We start from the raw sequence: 19,052 nt of genomic DNA, 5'->3' as shown, positions 1-19,052 counted from the left end.
TGGGACGGATGGGTTAGGGGCATGAGGCCGAGCTGCTTTCCTGGCAAGTCCCCAGGTAAGGGGCCTCCCATTTAACCAGAATATCGATCATCAAGCCAGAACCATGCAGTCCTCAGGAGAGGGAGGCACTCCGAGCATTCCTGGCTTAAGCTCTGGCCAAGATTTTACCACTGACTCGCCCCCAGGCATCTAGCAAATTATACGGTCTCCTGCCTGTTTCTCCTCGGTTTCCATAAAACAGCATTGCTGCTCAGAAGAGTATTTGAAGTCCTTCAATTGAGAGAATTGGACAGTGGCTTGCAGCGAGCCCTTGGCACCTTGAAAGTCTTTGGCTGAAGTTATGTACCTCCTTGAACTCCCTTTTCAGAAGAGGGAGTTCCATAGTTCATTTACCTTCCACCTTCTCTTCCTTCTTTTCTCCCTCCCTCCTTCTTTATTTTCCTTTCCTCCTCTTTTCCTCCTCTTCTTTACTCCTTCCTTTTCCCTTTCCTTTGTCTTTCTTCCTTCTTCCCTTTTTCTTCCCTCTTCTCCTTCTCTCCTGCCTTCCTTCCTTTTCCTTTTCTCCTCCACCAACCCCTCTCCCTTTCTCTCTACTTCTATGGTAGCACATGGGTGGGCCAGAAACTGTCCTGCTTCTCATCTAGTCCCGCTCTTGATTTTTCATGTGAAAGAGGGGAGTTCAGAGAGGCAAGAGGACTTATCTAGCCTCTTCCAACTAGTTAAGTTGCAAAGTCTGGGATTCCAGTTTTTTGACTCCTTGGATGAGGCGATCACCAGATGAAATGGATAACTCACCAGATCATTCCTTGGTTGAAGATCAAACCCAGCACATTTCCACTAATATCAAACTCAGCATATGAAGGCTAGAGAGGGAGGGAGGGAGCGAGAGAGAGAGAGAAAAAAAAAAGCACGTTTGGTGAATTCAGCCAAACCCTACTACCAACCAACTGGCCAAGCCAAGGCCATTCCATCCCAAAGAGCCTGCTCTGGTAACTAGAGAAGAACCTTAGATTTAGCATTCTATTTCTTTAATATGTTTTCAACTTTTAAACAAAAAATTTGACATTCTCAAAGCTGAAACTTTAAAAATGCCTATTTCAGTAAACAAAAAAATGACAGTTTCTATCTTTCAGGCCTTGCAGGCTGACAGCGTGTTCTTGGGAAGACCCTCGCCTCTAACAGAACATTTTATCAACGTTTTAATCAGAAACATACCCTGAAATTATAATCAAGGAGAAATCTAATAAATAATGAAATGCAAATAATTAAATGAGGAGTCAAAAGAAAAGAAAGCTTAAAAACAAACAAAAACCAAATCATCCTTCCAACTCTTCTTTCTCCTTCTCTTCTTCCTCCAGTCTGAGAGCAGTTCACGGAAAGGAAAGCACCCAGCTTGGTTCATATTTTCAGCCTACCTCATTTGCAGTTTTCGTGATTTGTCCGAATATTTGAAAGAACATAAAATCTGTGAGCACTGAGGATATGAGGGTCCTCATGAAGCATGCTAAAGCCCACATCCCAATTTGTCTTCCAGAAATGGAGATAAAGGGAAATGAGAACACAAGAAGGAGAGATGAGAAGTTAGGAAAGAGACAAAGGAAGGGCCAGCATGCATGGATGGAAGAAGGAAACATGCATACATTAAGTCCACGGGGTGAAGTCTTGGATGTTTATTTATTGAGACGGAGTCTCGCTCTGTTGCCCAGGCTGGAGTGCAGTGGCACAATCTCAGCTCACTGCAACCTCTGCCTCCTGGTTCAAGTGATTCTCCTGCCTCAGCCTCCCAAGTAGCTGGGATTACAGGTGTGCAGCACCATGCCCAGCTAATTCTTGTATTTTTAGTAGAGATGGAGTTTCACCATGCTGGCCAGGATGGTCTTGAATTCCTGACCTCAAGTGATCCACCCACCTCAGCCTCCCAAAGTGCTGGGACTACAATGTGAGCCACCGCACCCCCACCCAGAATTTAAATTTTAATATTTTAAAATGTTAAAAAAAACACATATCTACTGGGTTTCATGTCCTACTTAGACAAATCTTCCTCACTCCAAGATTCTAAGTTTGTACATGCTTTCTTTTAGAAATTTATATTTTCATTTTTTTGATGTTTAAGACTTTGATGTGCCTAAAATTAATCTAGATGAAATGAATGAGGGATATAATCCCCCACATTTTTATATAATTTATATATATTTTAATATAATCCTTTCCCCCCAGTGTGTTTGAAAGTCTCCCTTTATCATAAACTAAAGGCCCATGTAGATAGTATCTATTTCTGGACTTTCTATTCTGTTCCATTGACATGTTGGTCTATTTTCTAGTACCAGTTTTAGTTATTATAGCTTTATCATATGTTTTAGTATTATGGTAAGTCTAGTTCCTTTTATTCATCTTTTTATTTTTTCTTTATATACTTTTTGAGACAGGGCCTCACTATGTCGCCTAGGCAGGAATGCAGTGGTGTGATCAAGGGATCAAGGGATCCTCCTGCCTTAGCCTCCTGAGTAGCTGGGATTACAGGCATGCACCAGCACACCCAGCTAATTTTTTATTTTTTGTAGAGATGGGGTCTTGCTAAATTGCCCAGGCTGATCTTGAACTCCTGGACTCAAGCAATTCTCCTAATTTGGCCTCCCAAAGTGCTAGGATTACAGGTGTGAGCCACCATACCTGGCCTTATTCTTCTTTTTAAATATTTTTTCTGGATATTCTCACATGCTTATTTTTCAAATGAACTTTAGTATTATTTGGAAATCGTGGTGATCTTACAAACAAATTTAAGAACAATGACCTCTTAGTAATATTGTGTCTTTCTATCAAAGATGTCATCCTCTTTGAGCACAAAGTTCTTTCATCTTCGTTCTCAGACAAGATTATGAAGCTTTCCTGGCTGCCGAGGAGCTCAGCAGACTTGTTTAAAACTGAGACTGGTGACTGAACGAAAAAAAATGTGACAGAAACCTGTACTGGGGCCCTTACCTGGGCCAGGCCAGGATGAGGGATACATAGGTCAACATCCTACGGAGCCTTTCACCAGGAGCTCAGGTAAGAGGTAGGTACCTTACATGCACACCAGTGACTGCAGGCTGGGCCAGTGAGGTGTTGTGGAAGAGACATGTACAGCACAGGTGCCTGAGCCAGAGATTCTGCCAGAGCATAGAAGGACACTACAGAGAGGAAATGACACACATTTACCAGGTAGGTGGGGAAGAGGGCTATAAGGGAATACAAGTCAAAGGAGGTTTCTCAAAGCATCATCCAGAAGACAGGACCAATGGTTATTGTGTTCTTGGTGTGTTCCAGGACTTCCTGAAATATTCGCCTCCACTGTCAGATTTCAGCCCCCATAATGAGAGTTGAGGCTGCTCAGATGCAATTCCCTATCAACCATTGGCTCAGTACTGGAGTGTGTGGTCCACTTTCCCCTAGGCCAAATGCCTCCATTTCCTAGAATAGAAGGTCACATTGTTCATTACACTGGGAAAAAGCAGTTTCCCTTATGAAGGCAAATAGGACCCTTAAAGGAAATACAAATTAAACACTTTACTACTCTACAGAGCAGAGACCGTCATTAAGCTTCCAAAGAAATGAAATGCCCAAGAATGCATCTGGCTATAAGTATCAAAGAAGATAGTTGAAATTCCTTTGTGCGGAATGTCCATGAAGTGGTGACCTACAAATCCAGCCTCCAAGTCCCAGCACCAGCAGTAGTTCATGAACCGCACAAAACAAGCCCGTAGGAAGTCCCCCAGCAGGATGGTGATGTACGTTACCAGCATGTCAGACACCGTCAGCCTCATGAATTCCTGCAGAGGAACACAGGAAGAGGGGGTGGTTGGAGACCTTGCCCACTTCTCCCACCCTCCCTGAGAGTTTGTTGAGAGTCTAATAAACTCTCCCCCACCCACCTGACTTTGTCTCTGTGACCCTCTGATCCTTTGTGTGTGAAGAGAGGCGACTCCTGGCTCTGGAAAATGCTTAATTTAGGTCCCAGCTCCACATTACCAATTGTATGGCTTTGGAATAATCTCTGAACCTCTTGAAGTTGATATTGATATCAATCTCAAAAGGCTATTGTGAAACTTAGTAATTATGTATGCAAATGCAAATTGCCTGTTAAATTGACTATGCCCAATGCATCGTAGTCATCATCACTAGGACCCGAAGGCCTTGCTTCCCCACTTATTCTGAAGTGCCAGCTGCCCCCACTAAGACCAAATGTGACCGTCAGTCACTGGAGACAATGCCTAGCTTTTTTCATCTTCTGCTAGTCAGATTTTTCTTTTTCTTTTTCTTTTTTTTGATATATAGAGAAAATAAAACAGGTTTTGCACAGAGGCACATAGAAGAAGGACCAAAAACTGAAGGACAAAGCTTTCTCTGCATTTGTAGAATAGACATAATTTACTATGTTTTTGGAAAAATTGAAAATATCTACCAGACACCAATCACAACCTTTGAGACACCAAAGAGATTTGGAGTTCCCAGGGGTCACAGGATCTGCTTTGGTCATTTTATTTCCTCCTAGATGATTATGAAATGTTTGCTGGATGAACAGCTGGTAAGTTTTCAGGGTTATTCCTCAAATGGAAACATCAAGGAGGGAATAACAAAGAACTGAGAACAGGGGTCACCTTTTTAGAGAGTGTAACTACTCACAATGCCCACAGCTGTCTCCCAGCAAGAACCCCGGGGCACATCTGCAGGGTGCAGGGGTGGTCGGGGGACACTCTCGTTCCAACCAGAAGAGTTGTAATAGTTAAACAGAGTCCAGTGAGTGATGTTCTTTATTGTCTCTTCATTAGCAAGCTAGAACAGAAGATGGAGGTGTGGGGTAGGAAGGAGCTAGGGATGGTCCAACTGTTTCCATAAGAACAGTGAAAGCCAGCAAATGCCACAACCCTACCATCTAGCTTCTGCTCTCCCCTGGACAGAGTCCTTCCAAAATTCCCTTCTCAGGCTTTCAATATGTACAGGAGAGGCTGTAGTTCTTGGGTCTTTCCCATGAAGTTATCTTCTACTCTAAGTCAGCATTCATCTGTCCGTCTGTCCATCCATCCACTTGTCTATTCATCCATCCATCCATCCATCCATCCATCCATCCATCCATCCACCCACCCACCCACCCACCCATCCATCCATCCATCCATCCATCCATCCATCCATCCATTCATCCATCTAAGCATTCAGCCATCCATTCATGCATCTATCCAGTCATTCATTATTCTCTTGAAAATAATTTATTCAGGGCTTCTTCTGTGCATATAAAGTAGTGGTGATACAAGAGTGACCAAGAGAGATGGAGGTTCGCTCAGAAAGATTAGAGTCTAGTAAATGATGGAGATGAACTGGCAATTACAGAACAGACTGATACGAGCTGTGAGAAATTCTCTCTGGGAAAAGGAGCATCCACATCACACAATGGGGGCCACAGAAGACTTCCGGGAGGCAGTGACAGCTGGGCCAAAACCTCAAGAAGGATTAGTCAACTAGTCAAACATGAGGAGAGGGGTGGAGAGAGAGGCAAGATAGAATTTTGCCCTGTGGCAGAAATGTGAGGCTCAGGAGGGTAGAGCAGTCTCCTGGGTAGGAGGGAAGCCAGAGATGAGTGGGGAGGAGAGGTTAGGGCCAGATTCAGTCACTTCCATGCTTAGAACAGTTTTCTGTTAGCATCAGGAAAAAGTTCCTACAGCTCAATAATAAGGAGGGAAGGGGTGGAGAAGAGGGGCATCAGCATCATCGGGCCCTCCTTTGCTCTAAATTTTTCACTCTTCTGCTCCACTCCAGTTCCCTGTTGACCCAGCTGTTCCCTCTGCCTTTTCCAATGTCTGCTAAGGTCCCCAGGGAGGGATCTGGAGCTCCTCCTGTGCACTGCCATGCTGCCCTGGGCTTGCCACTACTGAAGCACATCCCACAGCGTGCTGTAATGAAGTCTGTCTCCCAGCCCAGTGTGTGAACACACTTGGGACAGGACTGTGTCTTCCTGTCTGCTCTACCCCAGGGCCTGCCATTGTGGGTGCTCCATAATTGTGTGGTGAGCATTGATAAACGGTTAAGTAATGACATAGCCCCTTAGAGGACAATTACTTGGCTGTTAATCATTTATGGCAGCTCTGAAACAGTGTGGAAAAGGCTGAAGATAAAATATTAAGGTATCAAATGACATGTATATGATGTGAAAAAAGACAACCAGAGAAAAGGACAGTAAAAAACTATAGGAAAAGGTTAACAATGGTCATCTTTGGGTCATAGAGTCCAAGGAGTTTTTTTTTAATTTTATTTTTCTTAATTTACATTTATTTAATTAATATGAATTATATATAATGAAATTATTATATTAAAAAAGAAAATACTATGGGCACCAGGAATTGCAGTGGGGTGGGGGGTGTTGTGGTTTTTACCTTGAGGTGGACGTCATCCATCAGGGCCAAGAGAAATGTGTAGAGGTTCCCCAGGAAGAGTGCAAAGATGCGTCCCAGCTGCCACTTCAGTCCAGTGCGTGGGTGGTAATTCTCCAGGGCAGCGATGGTTTCAAACAGAGGGGGACAAAACATTCCAAGCAGGGACATCACGATCTCTACCTGAGGAATCAGGAAAGCCTACGTTGTGTCATCAACATTATACTTGTTTGGCTGCCATCTCTGCACTCCCATGGCCATCCATCTCCACTTCTCTGCTGCCCCCTCTGCTGCGCCTGGAGATGCCCTGGGGTCTACACAGCTTGCTGTGTGACCCTGGCAAAGGCATCAACATGCCCTGAGCACTTGGCCTGTGCTTGCATATCATAATTGCTGTGTGACCAGATGCTATAATGGTTGTTGTTACTAGTATTGATGAAAATAGCACTTTCTGGCCAGGCGCAATGGCTCACGCCTGTAATCCCAGCACTTTGGGAAGCCGAGGCAGGCAGATCATGAGGTCAGGAGATAGCCAGGAGATCCTGGCTAACATGGTGAAACCCCGTCTCTACTAAAAATACAAAAAATTAGCTGGGTGTGGTGGCATGTACCTGTAATCCCAGCTACTTGGGAGGCTGAGGCAGGAGAATTGCTTGAACCCTGGAGGCGGAGGTTACAGTGAGGCGAGATTGCACCACTGCACTCCAGCCTGGGTGACAGAGCAAGACTCCATCTCAAAAAAACAAAAACAAACAAAAAACAACTGCTCACCCAGTGGAAAGTAAATCCCTGCAAATTGCAAGTTGGTCAACTCTTCTCGGCTGGTCTTGACTATCCCACTCTCTCTCACACTGACCCTTGGCTTGGTTTCTCATCATCTCCGTACCTGTCCATGTAGTTCTCACCTGGAGAGCCATCACTGCCCCATATCTACCACTGCCCTTCATTATATGTTTGTGTAGTGTTCAGCCTAATTCCTGCCTTTGCCACAAAATTCCACTGCCTCTTCAGCTCTCATGGACAATTCCATCTGTAACCTAAAACATCTTATTTGATCACGGTATTCCTGCCTACTATTGTTTGTGCTTTGGTTTATTCTTGTTGAGCCTGCATCCTAAGGAAACTGCAATCCCCTTAAGGGTAGAATTCATCTTGGGCATCTTTTGAGTCCTTCTCACAGCTTAGTGACCCAGTGAAGGCTTTGTGGAAGGGACGTTTTTCCTTTCTTACTCTATTCCTCAGTTCTCCCATCCTACAGAGAGGCCCCCAAAGTCCCTGTCTTTCCCATATCTTAAACCCATTCTGACCAGGTCAGGAGCTACACTGGGGCCTCTAATCCACTGCTGGGAGTGTCTGAGTTGATGTCCAACTGCACTGATCCAGAGTGGGTTAGAGGTAAGCTTAGGCAATCAGGAATGAGGCCCCCAAAACAGACTCAGAGCCAGACAGGTACTGGGTCCTAATCCTGACTCCATTGCTAATAAGCTGTGTGTCTTAAACTTTCCGGTCCTCAGATATTTATGTGAAAACTAGGACTAAGGATGCCTACCCTGCCATAGTGCTATGAGGCATAAATAATAGGCATAGAGGTCTATTGTAGGTATTCAGTTAATAGTTTTCTCCTTTGTCTTTCCTCCATCTCTAATTTATTAAGCACTTACTATGTGTGAGTCACTGTGCCAAATTCTAAAGATGCAACAAAGGATAAAAAGTCACACACACTCTGCCCACAAGAACTTAAAGTAGATGTAAATAATTCCATAATAAGTTAATCATTACAAAGGTAAAAATGCTGCAAAGGGTAAATACTTTAAGTATATAATAGAAATAAGGATATAACATTTAAACTCATACCTGAAATTATTCAAGAGAGATGAGAGTGTGTGAGAGAAGGCATCTCAGTAGAACAGAGGCCAATGGTGCTGCAGTTTAGTGAAGATGGGAAGAGTAAGAGTGACTAAAGGTACAATTGGGGGCTAGGTGCAGTGGGTCATGCCTGTAATCCCAGCACTTTGGGAGGCTGAGGCAGGTGGATCACCTGGGTTCAGGAGTTTGAGACTAGCCTGGCCAACATGGCAAAACCTCGTCTCTACTAAAAATACAAAAATTAGCCAGGTGTGGTGGTGCGTGCCTGTAGTCCCAGCTACTTGGGAGACTGAGGCAAGAGAATCACTTGAACCTGGGAGGCGGAGGTTGCAGTGAACTGAAATCGTGCCACTGCACTCCAGCCTGGATGACAGAGCAAGACTTCATCTCAAATAATAATAATAATAATAATAATAATAATAATAATAATAATAAATAAAAATAAGGGTACAACTGGGAAGGTAAGTCAGGGAAAGCCATTTAGGACTTTATCCTGAGAGAAAATGATGGTTTTCATGGTGAATGCATCTTCATACTAAAAATAATAACTTGGAGTTCTGGGAAGATAATGATAGCCACAGCATGAATTTCTTTTTTTCTTTTTTTTTTTTTTAAGACAGTTTTGCTCTTGTTACCCAGGCTGGAGTGCAATGGCGCAGTCTTGGCTCACTGCAACCTCCGCCTCTGGGATTCAAGCAATTCTCCTGCCTCAGCCTCCCAAGTAGCTGGGACTACAGGCATGCGCCACCATGCCCAGCTAATTTTTTGTATTTAGTAGAGACGAGGTTTCACCATGTTGGCCAGGCTGGTCTCGAACTCCTGACTTCAGGTGATCCACCCGCCTTGGCCTCCCAAAGTGCTGGGATTACAGGCGTGAGCCACTGCACCTGGCCATCACAGCATGATTTTTGAATCTCCCGAATCCCCATGTAAAACTGGATAAAGCAATTAAATAATAAAATAAAAAAACACATAGACAATGAAGCTAGGTGTCCTAATGAATCCTTAAATACAAGTGGCTACAATACAATACAAATTACCAACAGCCACAAGTACTTACAGAGTTCATGTCTGGATGAGAGAAGGTCAAGAGAAACAGTGGGGTATCCAATGAATCTGAGAACAGGAGGATGTCAAAATGGCTAATAGGTACTCAATGAAAAGCATAGTGGAACAATCTGAGAACAGCAGCTGACACTGTGAGGAACTCTGCTCGGTCCAATAATAGGTGAGTGCAAGGTCATTCTTGGTTAATCTGGAGATGAGCTAAAACAGCCTGGGCCTCTTGAACTTTTGAAATTTGTCAGTTAAGCTCCCTAACAGGACAGGGCACAACATGAAGGAGACTATTCTGAGAACAGAATTGAAATTGAGCAGAGAGAGGGAATATAGATAAAGGAATGGGAAGGTCTAGATAAAAAGTAGAAAAGGGATGAGAGGCAGGAGCTCTCTCATCCAGCAAGCCACCATATATTTTGAAGACTTCATAAAAACAGTGGAAGAGAGAGCTCCGTTAACTTAGGAAAGTCATCCTGAACCATGCCTCACTAAAACTTCAGCAAAACTAACTTTATATAAAAATGAACAGTGGAAAAGTTTTTTCTAGGTCAAATCCCATACAAAGTTATTTCAAGGAAAAGAGAACAAGAAGTAGGTTAAACTTTCAGATAATGAAAACGCACCAAAAAGTAAGTTGTATAAAACAGTTAAAAAATTATAATGAGTATTCAAAAACAGAAAACTGAAAGATGTTAAGAAAATATAGGTCACAAAACAATATAAATAAAAATTAGAAAAACCCAGAAAAAGGGTGACAGAATACTGCAAAAAAAAAAAAAAAAAAAGAAAAAAGAAATTAAGGGAAAACTATATTAAAATTGAAGAATACCTAAGAGAATCACAATTGCAAAACATAATGACAATGACAAGAAAAAGATAAAAAGGGGGAAAGTTTTAAAAATAAAAAATATATGAAGAAAGAAGTTAATAGGATTCAGGAGAAAACAAGATATATTGAAGAGAGACAAAGAAGATTCAACACGGGTATAATAGGAGGTCCTAAAGAAGAAAACCCAAAAAAGGGAATAGAACAAATTAAAAAAACCTATAATTCAATAAATCTTCCCTTAAATGAAAAACAAGATTTGAATCTGCCTAACATTTTTAAAAACTTTTGGGTCTGGTATGGTGGCTCACACTTGTAATCCCAGCACTTTGGGAGGCTGAGGCAGGCAGATCACTTGAGGTCAGGAGTTTGAGACCAGCCTGGCCAACAGGGTGAAACCCTGTCTCTACTAAAAATACAAAAATTAGCCAGGCATGGTGATGCGTGCCTGTAATCCCAGTTACTCAGGAGGCTGAGGCAGGAGAATTGTTTGAACCCAGGAGGTGGAGGTTGCAGTGAGCCAAGATCGTGCCACTGCACTCCAGCCTGGGTGACAGAGCGAGACTTCATCTCAAAAGTAAATAAATAAATAAATAAATACACTGTGTACCTGAGAATATCAAGAATGACCAATACCAGGATGTATTCTTAAGTAAAGTTAATGGACTTTAAAGAAAAAGGAAAATAAATCTTGGCATATAGGTAAAAAGAGCAAGTCTATCATTTTGCCTTGTTTTCTTGTATACCAGGTAACCTTTGACTTCTTTCTGGTCATTGACTTTAATAATTATTTATGGAGTTCTCTGAGGCCTAGATATGTACATGCTGAATTAGAGAGGCTCTAAGCTTGGTTCTGCCAGGTACCTGGTACACTACCATCTACAATGCTTCAAACCAAAGTCAAGGTCTGACAGCCCCAGGTACAAGTCTGCTCAGTGGAAGGTCTGAGGCCACAGGCTCTGCGGACAGCACCTTTTCCTTCTCTTTTCCACTTCCAGCCTAAACAGCAAGCTGCCCTCTTAGTAGTTACTGGAGGTGGGAGGAGGGTTAGATCAGGTTCACCCATACCTTGAATGCCTTAACTCCTGGGAGAGGGGTGGTGAGGTCTATTTAGGGAGATTTTCCCCTCCTCCTAATATGGAAAAGTCCTGGTTTGGAAACTTTGTCTCTTTGGACTTTATGGATTGAATCGTGTCTCCTCCTCCTCCCACAAATTTGTATCTTGAAGTCCTAACTCTCAATGTGACTATTTGGAGATGGGGCCTTTAAGGAGGTAATTAAGGTTAAGTGAGGTCACAAGGGTGGGACCTAATCCAATAAGACTGGTGTTCTTATAAGAAGAGGAAAAGATACCAGAGATCTCTCTCTCTCTCTCTCCATGCACATGCACAGAAGAAAGGTCACAGAAGGACACAGGGAGAAGACAGACACCTGCAAGCCTCAGGGGAAAGCAAACCTGCCAACTCCTTGATCTCGGACTTCCAGCCTCCAGAACGGTGAGCAAATACATTTCTGTTGTTTAAGCTACTCAGTCTGTGGTACTTTGTTGTGGCAGCCTATATGTTTTTCCTTCTATACTATCAACACTTTACTTCCAGGACACTTCTGACACCAAATGTGTCAGACACATTTGACACTTCTGACACCAAATTTTTTCCCATACCAACCAATTTTCTGATACCAGCTGCGTAGCGTAAAATTCAATTCAATTCAATTAAGACACTAATCAGAGTGAGCACAGACTCCACAGGTGAAGGGCTCAGTCCCACAAGCCTGCCCCCACTTTGGATGCCAATCACAAGTATTAGGTCACCAGGTTACTGGCAACTTCTGTTCGATTTGGCTATAAAGCAGAGATTCTCACAATCCCCTTCTTGGGTTTGGTCATTTGCTAGAGTAAGCAAATCATTCAGGAAAACAATTTAATTACTAGATTATCTGTTTATTTCAAAGGATATAACTCAGGAATGGCCAGGTGGAAGAGATGCATAGGGTAAGGTATGGGCAAGGGGCTTGGAGCTTCCAGGCCCACTCTTCAAACTCTGCCCTTTGGGTTTTTATGGAGGCGTCATTATGTAGTCATGATTGATTAAATCACTGGCCATTAGTGATCAACTCAACCTCAGCCCCTCTCCCCTCCCTGGAGGTGACGGGATACGGCTGAAAGTTCCAATTTTCTAATCACTGGCTGGTTCCCCTGGCAGCCAGCCCAGATGCAGAGGTTATCCAGGAGCTTCCAGCAACCAGTCATCTTACTAGCATACAAAAAAAAACACTGATCACTTTAGAGATTCCAAGGGTTTTAGGGGCTGTGTGCCAGAAACTGGGAGCAGACCAATATATAATAAGAAATATATAATAATATCACAGCCCTAGCAAACTCATATATCATAATTTGTGATCCTAATGTCTCAAAATAGAGTCACTCATGTCAAAAAGCATTAAGCCCATAGTGAAATTGTTCCGCCCTCTCTCAAAGTGATAAGCATGTATATAATGGACTGAGGTGATAAGCAAACACCTGCTGCTGCCTGGTATTTCCTGAAATTAACTGGTAGAGAATGAAACGTTGGCTGAGATAAAGAGAACAGACCCATCTGGGAGGATCATAAAAGCAGCCAGGACCTGGCCTTGTTCAAAAAGCCTTCGGAGGCTCTGCCCATGGGAACTCTGGAACCTTCTCCCGATTTTGGCAGTGGCTGCTGGAAGCTCTGCAAGAGAGAAACAGCGATGCCCACTTCTGCTGGCCAGTGCCTGAATGACTTCTGGACCCACTTGGCTCATCTGTTGATGTGTTGGTCTCCGGAGCCATCGTTGTGGTTTGTTACCTCCCTCTTATTACTGCCTGTGTGTTGAACATTAGTGGAGTGACTGATGGGGTATGAAGGCCTGGAAATAAATCAGGAATTCAAGAACTGCTAGTTGGCTATTGTGAAACTTCCCAACTTAGGACAGAGTCAGCACATCAAGGCTGCAGGAACCTAATTAACACAACATAGGCTAAGACACTGGCCCTAGTGGGATGGAACTAGAGCACAGGAACAAGTGTTTGAAAAGTCAGCATTTGCCTTCAGAGCATAAGACTTGGCACTGATACTCCCCTTATATTTCTGGTCACAGGCTTTCACTTAAAATTGGTCTTGGGGGTCTCTCACTGTGTTTTCAAATCCTCAGTGTTTTCAAGGTATGCTTTTTCTTTAAATGAGCATTTTTAGGGCTTTTAATTAATTACTTGATCCAAATAACCTAGGCCACCACTAGCAGAAACCACTGGCCCATTCTTTTATTTTAAACCTTTCTGTGTCCTGATGTTTTAGATGGGTTAATTATAAATAGCACATAGCTTTAACAGTTTTTGATCTAATTATTATTGTCCTCAAACTGTAGCATCAAATCCATTTACATCTATTAGAATCACTGATATATTTAGACTTAAATCTGATTTTGTGCTTTATATTTGTCCTCCTATCAATGCCATATTTCCTTTTTTATATCCTTTCTTGCTTTGTTGGGGGAAGATAGGCTGTCTTCTTTTTTTAAATTGCTGTTTGAATGCAAGATAAACTCTTTCTTATTATTAATTTATTTAGCTCATGATTCTGTGGGGCAGCATTTTTTTTTTTTTTAAACTGGGCTTAACTGGGTCGTTCTTTTGTTGGCCTTACCTGCTGATAGCTGATGGCTCCATTCAAATATCTGGTGGTTTACTGGCTATTGGCCAGGGTGGGGAGATAACTGGACCATGTGTCTCATCATTCAGGAGGCTAGCCAGAGATTATTCACATGACGAAGGTCTCAGGGTTCCCAAAAGCAGTAAAAGAGCAAGTCTCAATACACAAGCACTATTCAAATCTCTGCATGTTTCATGGTTGCTATTGTTCCATTGGCTAAACCAAGTCACATGACCAAGCTAAGGTGGATTCAAAAGATGGAGGACACAGATTCCACCTCTTCGTGAATGTGCAAAGGAAAGCAAAGGGATGTGCATACAAGGATAGGAAGAATTTGTAGCCATTTTCACAAACGACCACAGATGTCAAATTCCCGAAAGAGGTTTATGGATTCTGTGTTATCACAATAAAACCTTAATGTGTTTTATTGTGGAGCTTGATGAGAAAACTCGCTCTATCAGATATTAAGACATAGTGTAAATGCATAGTATATCAGTTTGTTATTTGTGCAGGAATAGACAAACAGGAATAGAAAAGAGAGCCCAGAATCATACCCATGCATTAATAGACACTTGATTTACGATGTATGGCGCTGCAAAGCTGTGAGGAAAGGATCGCCTCGTTAGTAATTGGTGTTGCACAGGTGGCTATCCAGTTGCTAATCCAGTTTTTCTAGTTGTAAAAGCCAGTTCCCAAAACCTAATAATAGGTGACTTTTTCTTCAGGATATTCATGCTATTTGACTGGAAGGGGATGTAATTTCACTTATTAAAACAAGCCTATAATCCAGACTTTCGATAAATGAAATGAATGGCATAGGAACCAGTGATTTCAGTATTTGCCATCAACCTTCAGTTCATCAGCGATGTTTTTCTTACCTCATTCCTTTCATACCAGCTGACATTCTGCATTTTGGAGAATTGCTGAGATCGCTTAACCACAAAGTAAATGAGGTACCCACTTCCACACAAACAGCAGATGATGAGAAAGTTGGCCAGGACACGAAGAAATCTTGTCAGATGGATATTTTCTTCTTTGTTACTCTCTTGTTCATCCACTATTGATTCCTTAATGTGTGAAAATGAGATGTGCATAAATGTCAGGCCAGAAATGCCAGAACCATGGCTGTTGGGTCCCTGAAAATAGTACTTTCTATATTTCCAGAAATGAAATAATACAGAGGAGATGATGTAATGCCCTGTGCCCTATGGATAATTATTTTCTTTAGAAAAATATGTTTGTTGTTATTGCTATTCCAGTACATGTAAGAAACACTTAGATTTCTTAAATAGTCACCATGTGTCAGACGTGGTACTTTCCGTGCATTGTCCCTCTTTTTTTCTTTTTTGAGACAGAGTTTTGCTCTTGTTGCTCAGGCTGGGGTGCAATGGTGCAATCTCGGCTCACCACCTCCTGGGTTCAAGTGATTCTCCTGCCTCAGCCTCCCGAGTAGCTGGGATTACAGGCATGCACCACCACGCCTGGCTAATTTTATATCTTTAGTAGAGATGGGGTTTCTCCATGTTGGTCAGGCTGGTCTCGATCTCCTGACCTTAGGTGATCTGCCTGCCTCAGCCTCCCAAACTGCTGGGATTACAGGCATGAGCCACTGTGCCTGGCTGCATTGTCCCTCTTAATCCCAGCAACACACCAGTAGAATAGTTACTGTTATTACCCACATTACAGACCCCAAGGCCCAGAGAGATTTCAGTAACTGATTGGGATCATGTTAAGTCTATAGGTCAAATAGATTCCAACTGAATCTTAAAATATTGAGTCTTCTAATCGAGGGTTGGCAAACTCATTCTATAAAAAGCTAGATAGTATTTTTGGTTTGCTGGTCATATGGTCTCTCTCACAACCACTCAGCTATGCCATTGTGGCATGAAAGCAACCATAGACAAGATGTAAATAAATTGGAATGCCTTTGTTTCGATAAAACATTATTTGTAAAAGTAGGCAGCAGGCTGGATTTGGCCTGTGGGCCATAGTTTGCCAACCTCTGTTCTAATCCATCAGCATAGCATATCTCTCCATTAGGGTTTCTTAATTTCTTTCGGCAATATTTTATACTTTTGGTGTAATGGTCTTGTACATTATTTTGGTTAAATTTATGTCTAGGAATTTTATGGGTTTTTTTTGGATACTATTAATAGAACTTAAACTTTTTTTTCTTTTTTTTTTTTTTTTTTTCTGAGACAGTCTTGCTGCGTCGCCTAGGCTGGAGTGCAGTGGCATGATCTCGGCTCACTGCAACCTCCGCCTCCTAAGTTCAAGTGATTCTCCTGCCTCAGCCTCCTGAGTAGCTGGGATTACAGGTGCCCACCACCACACCCGGCTAAATTTTTTTTTTTTTGAGACCGAGTCTTGCTCTGTCACCCAGCCTGGAGTGCAGTGGCACAATCTCGGCTCACTGCAAGCTCCGCCTCCCAGGTTCACGCCATTCTCCTGCCTCAGCCTCCCAAGTAGCTGGAACTACAGGCACCCGCCACCATGCCCGGCTAATTTTTTTTGTATTTTTAGTAGAGACAGGGTTTCACTGTATTAGCCAGGATGGTCTCGATCTCTTGACCTCGTGATCTGCCCGCCTCAGCGTCCCAAAGTTCTGGGATTACAGGCGTGAGCCACCACACCCAGCCACACCCGGCTAATTTTTGTATCTTTAGTAGAGGCAGGGTTTCCCCATGTTGTCCAGGCTGATCTCAAACTCCTGACCTCAGGTGATCCACCTGTCTCAGCCTCCCAAAGTGCTGGGATTACAGGCATGAGCCACTGTGCCTGGCCTTAAACTTATTTTCGAATTGTTTTCTGTTAGTATATAAAAATTGATTTTTGATTATTAAACTTGTGCCCTAGACACAGAGTAATTGGTAGAACCAGGATGAAAAATGAGCTCTCCCAGACCCCAAAGTCTTAATTCACAGAATTTTCACATCTATTCTGTTATACAAGTATATTATGTCTCTTTTAATAAACTTACAAAAGAAGTCATTTTACTTCTCACATGTTCAAAGTGTTTCAAAGACATTGATCTTCTTTGTCCCTCTCTCACAATCCTGGAGGAAAAGTCAAAGCCCCCAGTCACCCCTACCCTGGCTTTGGATGGAAGTGGCCATAAGCCCCCCATTGCTGTAAGAAGGAGAAGGAGAGGAGACAGAGTCAGCTCCCTGCTCCATGCACTGCAAAGCCCACCGGGCTCTAGGGCTGGGAAACCCATGCTGTGAGTTGCTGAGCTCAAGCCCTTTTCCTAGTGGGTGTCCCTGCCATCTGCAGGCATCAGTCAGTGGACAGCAGGAAGGAATTCAAGAGAGGGGAGGGGCAAAGAAAAGAGAACGAAGCGCAGTTGTAGTGTAATGTGAGCTTTGCTAGGTCCTGGGGGAAAGAAAGCTTCACTGATCAGACAGGAGAAATATTGAGCCATAAAGAACTTGGAATGGGAGCTGGGTGCAGTGGCTCACACCTGTAATCCCAGTGCTTTGGGAGGCCAGGGAGGGAGGATGGCTTGAGGCCAGGAATTTGAGACCAGCCTGGGCAACATAGTGAGAGACTTCATCTCTACAAAAAATAGAAAAATTTAACTGGGCATGGCACTCCAGCCAGAGTGAGACCTTGTCTCCAAAAAAAAAAAAAAAAAAAAAAATGTAATTAAAGAAAAAAAAAACGAAGAACTTGGAATGGTTTTTACAATCACGGGGGCAAAGTACAATGTACAATGCTTCAGCATTACAGCTTTGGCCTTCATTCATTTGCTTCCCAGCTGGATGGTTATTTTATATGAGCTATAGTTCTGTAGACCTCCTCAAACCTCTCTTGTAAAGAAATTATTTGTGTGTGGATTGAAAGAAACATAGGGTTGATTTCATCTTTTTTTTTTTTTTTTTTTTAACATTATCCCATTCATTCATTCATTTTGAGCCAGAGTCTCACTCTGTCACTCAGGCTGGAATGCCGTGGTGCGATCTTGGCTCTCCGCAACTTCTGTCTTTTGGATTCAAGAGATTCTCCTGCCTCAGCCTCCCGAGTAGCTGGGATTGGCAGGTGGATCATTTGAGGTCAGGAGTTCAAGATCAGCCTGGCCAAAATGGTGAAACCCCATCTCTACTAAAAATACTTTTTATTTTTTAAATATGCAAACCCAACCACTCAATTATACATACACTCCAACTGCAACTTAGAACCCTAAAATAGTCCTTTGTTTATTATGCACCCTCAGAAGGGTTTTTCTGCTTTGTTGTACCTTTTTTTTGGACATGTACACACAGGAAACTTTCTGTCTCTTTTTTTATCTCATGGAACTGTGTTTTGATTTGTTTTGTTTTGTTTTCAGAACCCCCCATGCCTGTTTTTATACCAGTCACATAAATAAACAACACCCAGTCTCACTGGAAAATGATGGAAACTTTGTCAGCAGCACTTCACATGAAAAAAACTCTTGTTTAGAAAATAAATGGTGATTTTAAAGTAGAGACATGGGCTGGGCACAGTGGCTCATGCTTGTAATCCCAGCACTTTGGGAGGCCGAGGCGGGCAGATCACTTGAGGTCAGGAGTTTGAGACTGGCCTGGTGAAACCATGTCTCTACTAAAAATACAAAAAAATTAGCCGGGCATGGTGATGTGCACCTGTAATCCCAGCTACTCAAGAGGCTGAAGCAGGAGAATCACTTGAACCCAGGAGCCGGAGGTTGCAGTGAGCTGAGATTTTGCCACTACACTCCACCCTGGGTGACAGAGCGACACTCTGTCTCAATAAATAAATAAATAAATAAATAAATAAATAAATAAAGTAGAGGCAAGGTCTGTGAAGGAACCCTCTCAGTCAGAATCCTACACACGTGCAAAGGTTTGCCCACCTCAGCCCCTGTGGGACTGATCTGCACAGACCATATTGCTAGCCTTCTGTCACCAAGCTTTCACTCTGTCTCCCTTTCTCTCTCTTTGTTATTTTCCAACTACCAAGTTCAAATTCTTTTTTTTTTTTTTCATTTCACTAGCTTTCTGGGGAACAGGTGGTGTTTGGTTACATGAATAAGTTCTTCAGTGGTGATTTCTGAGATTTTGGCGCAGCCATCAGTGTTGATTTCTTTATTCCCACAGCCCCAAACCAGGGTTCTCAGCTCTTTCTGAGTATTCTAATCACTTGGGGAGCTTTTGAAAAACCAATGTCAGGACCCTACTCCAGGCCAGTTATATCAGAGTCTCTGTTAGTGGATCCCAGGAGATCTTTTAAGCT

The 19,052-nt window shown here is 42.7% G+C and overlaps 1 protein-coding gene and 1 long non-coding RNA gene across 4 annotated transcripts in view; one reads left to right on the top strand and one right to left on the bottom strand.

The window, feature by feature from the left end:
• The window catches only part of LOC105372505 (uncharacterized), a 38,419-nt gene extending 35,465 nt beyond the window's left edge, over positions 1 to 2,954 (top strand). The window contains exon 5 of the long non-coding RNA XR_007067502.1: positions 2,868 to 2,954. This is a non-coding gene — a long non-coding RNA (uncharacterized LOC105372505). The remainder of the gene's footprint in view (positions 1 to 2,867) is intronic.
• Positions 1 to 19,052, bottom strand: part of TMC2 (transmembrane channel like 2) — a 107,008-nt gene that overhangs the window by 26,581 nt on the left and 61,375 nt on the right. For 2 of the 3 annotated variants that reach the window (NM_080751.3, XM_005260660.5), the window contains 5 exons: positions 14,699 to 14,887; positions 6,402 to 6,581; positions 4,660 to 4,809; positions 3,678 to 3,806; positions 796 to 863 (listed from right to left, as the gene is read on the bottom strand). In NM_080751.3, the coding sequence (NP_542789.2) occupies positions 796 to 863; positions 3,678 to 3,806; positions 4,660 to 4,809; positions 6,402 to 6,581; positions 14,699 to 14,887 (716 nt within the window). Of the gene's footprint in view, positions 1 to 794; positions 864 to 2,979; positions 3,807 to 4,659; positions 4,810 to 6,401; positions 6,582 to 14,698; positions 14,888 to 19,052 lie in introns of those variants that run through there. The other variant, XR_001754152.2, reaches the window with a different exon arrangement.

The sequence above is a fragment of the Homo sapiens genome, chromosome 20 (assembly GCF_000001405.40).
Source record: "Homo sapiens chromosome 20, GRCh38.p14 Primary Assembly".
NCBI lineage: Eukaryota > Metazoa > Chordata > Mammalia > Primates > Hominidae > Homo > Homo sapiens.
Note: the sequence above shows the minus strand (reverse complement) of the source record. Positions and strands in the feature narration are given on the sequence as shown.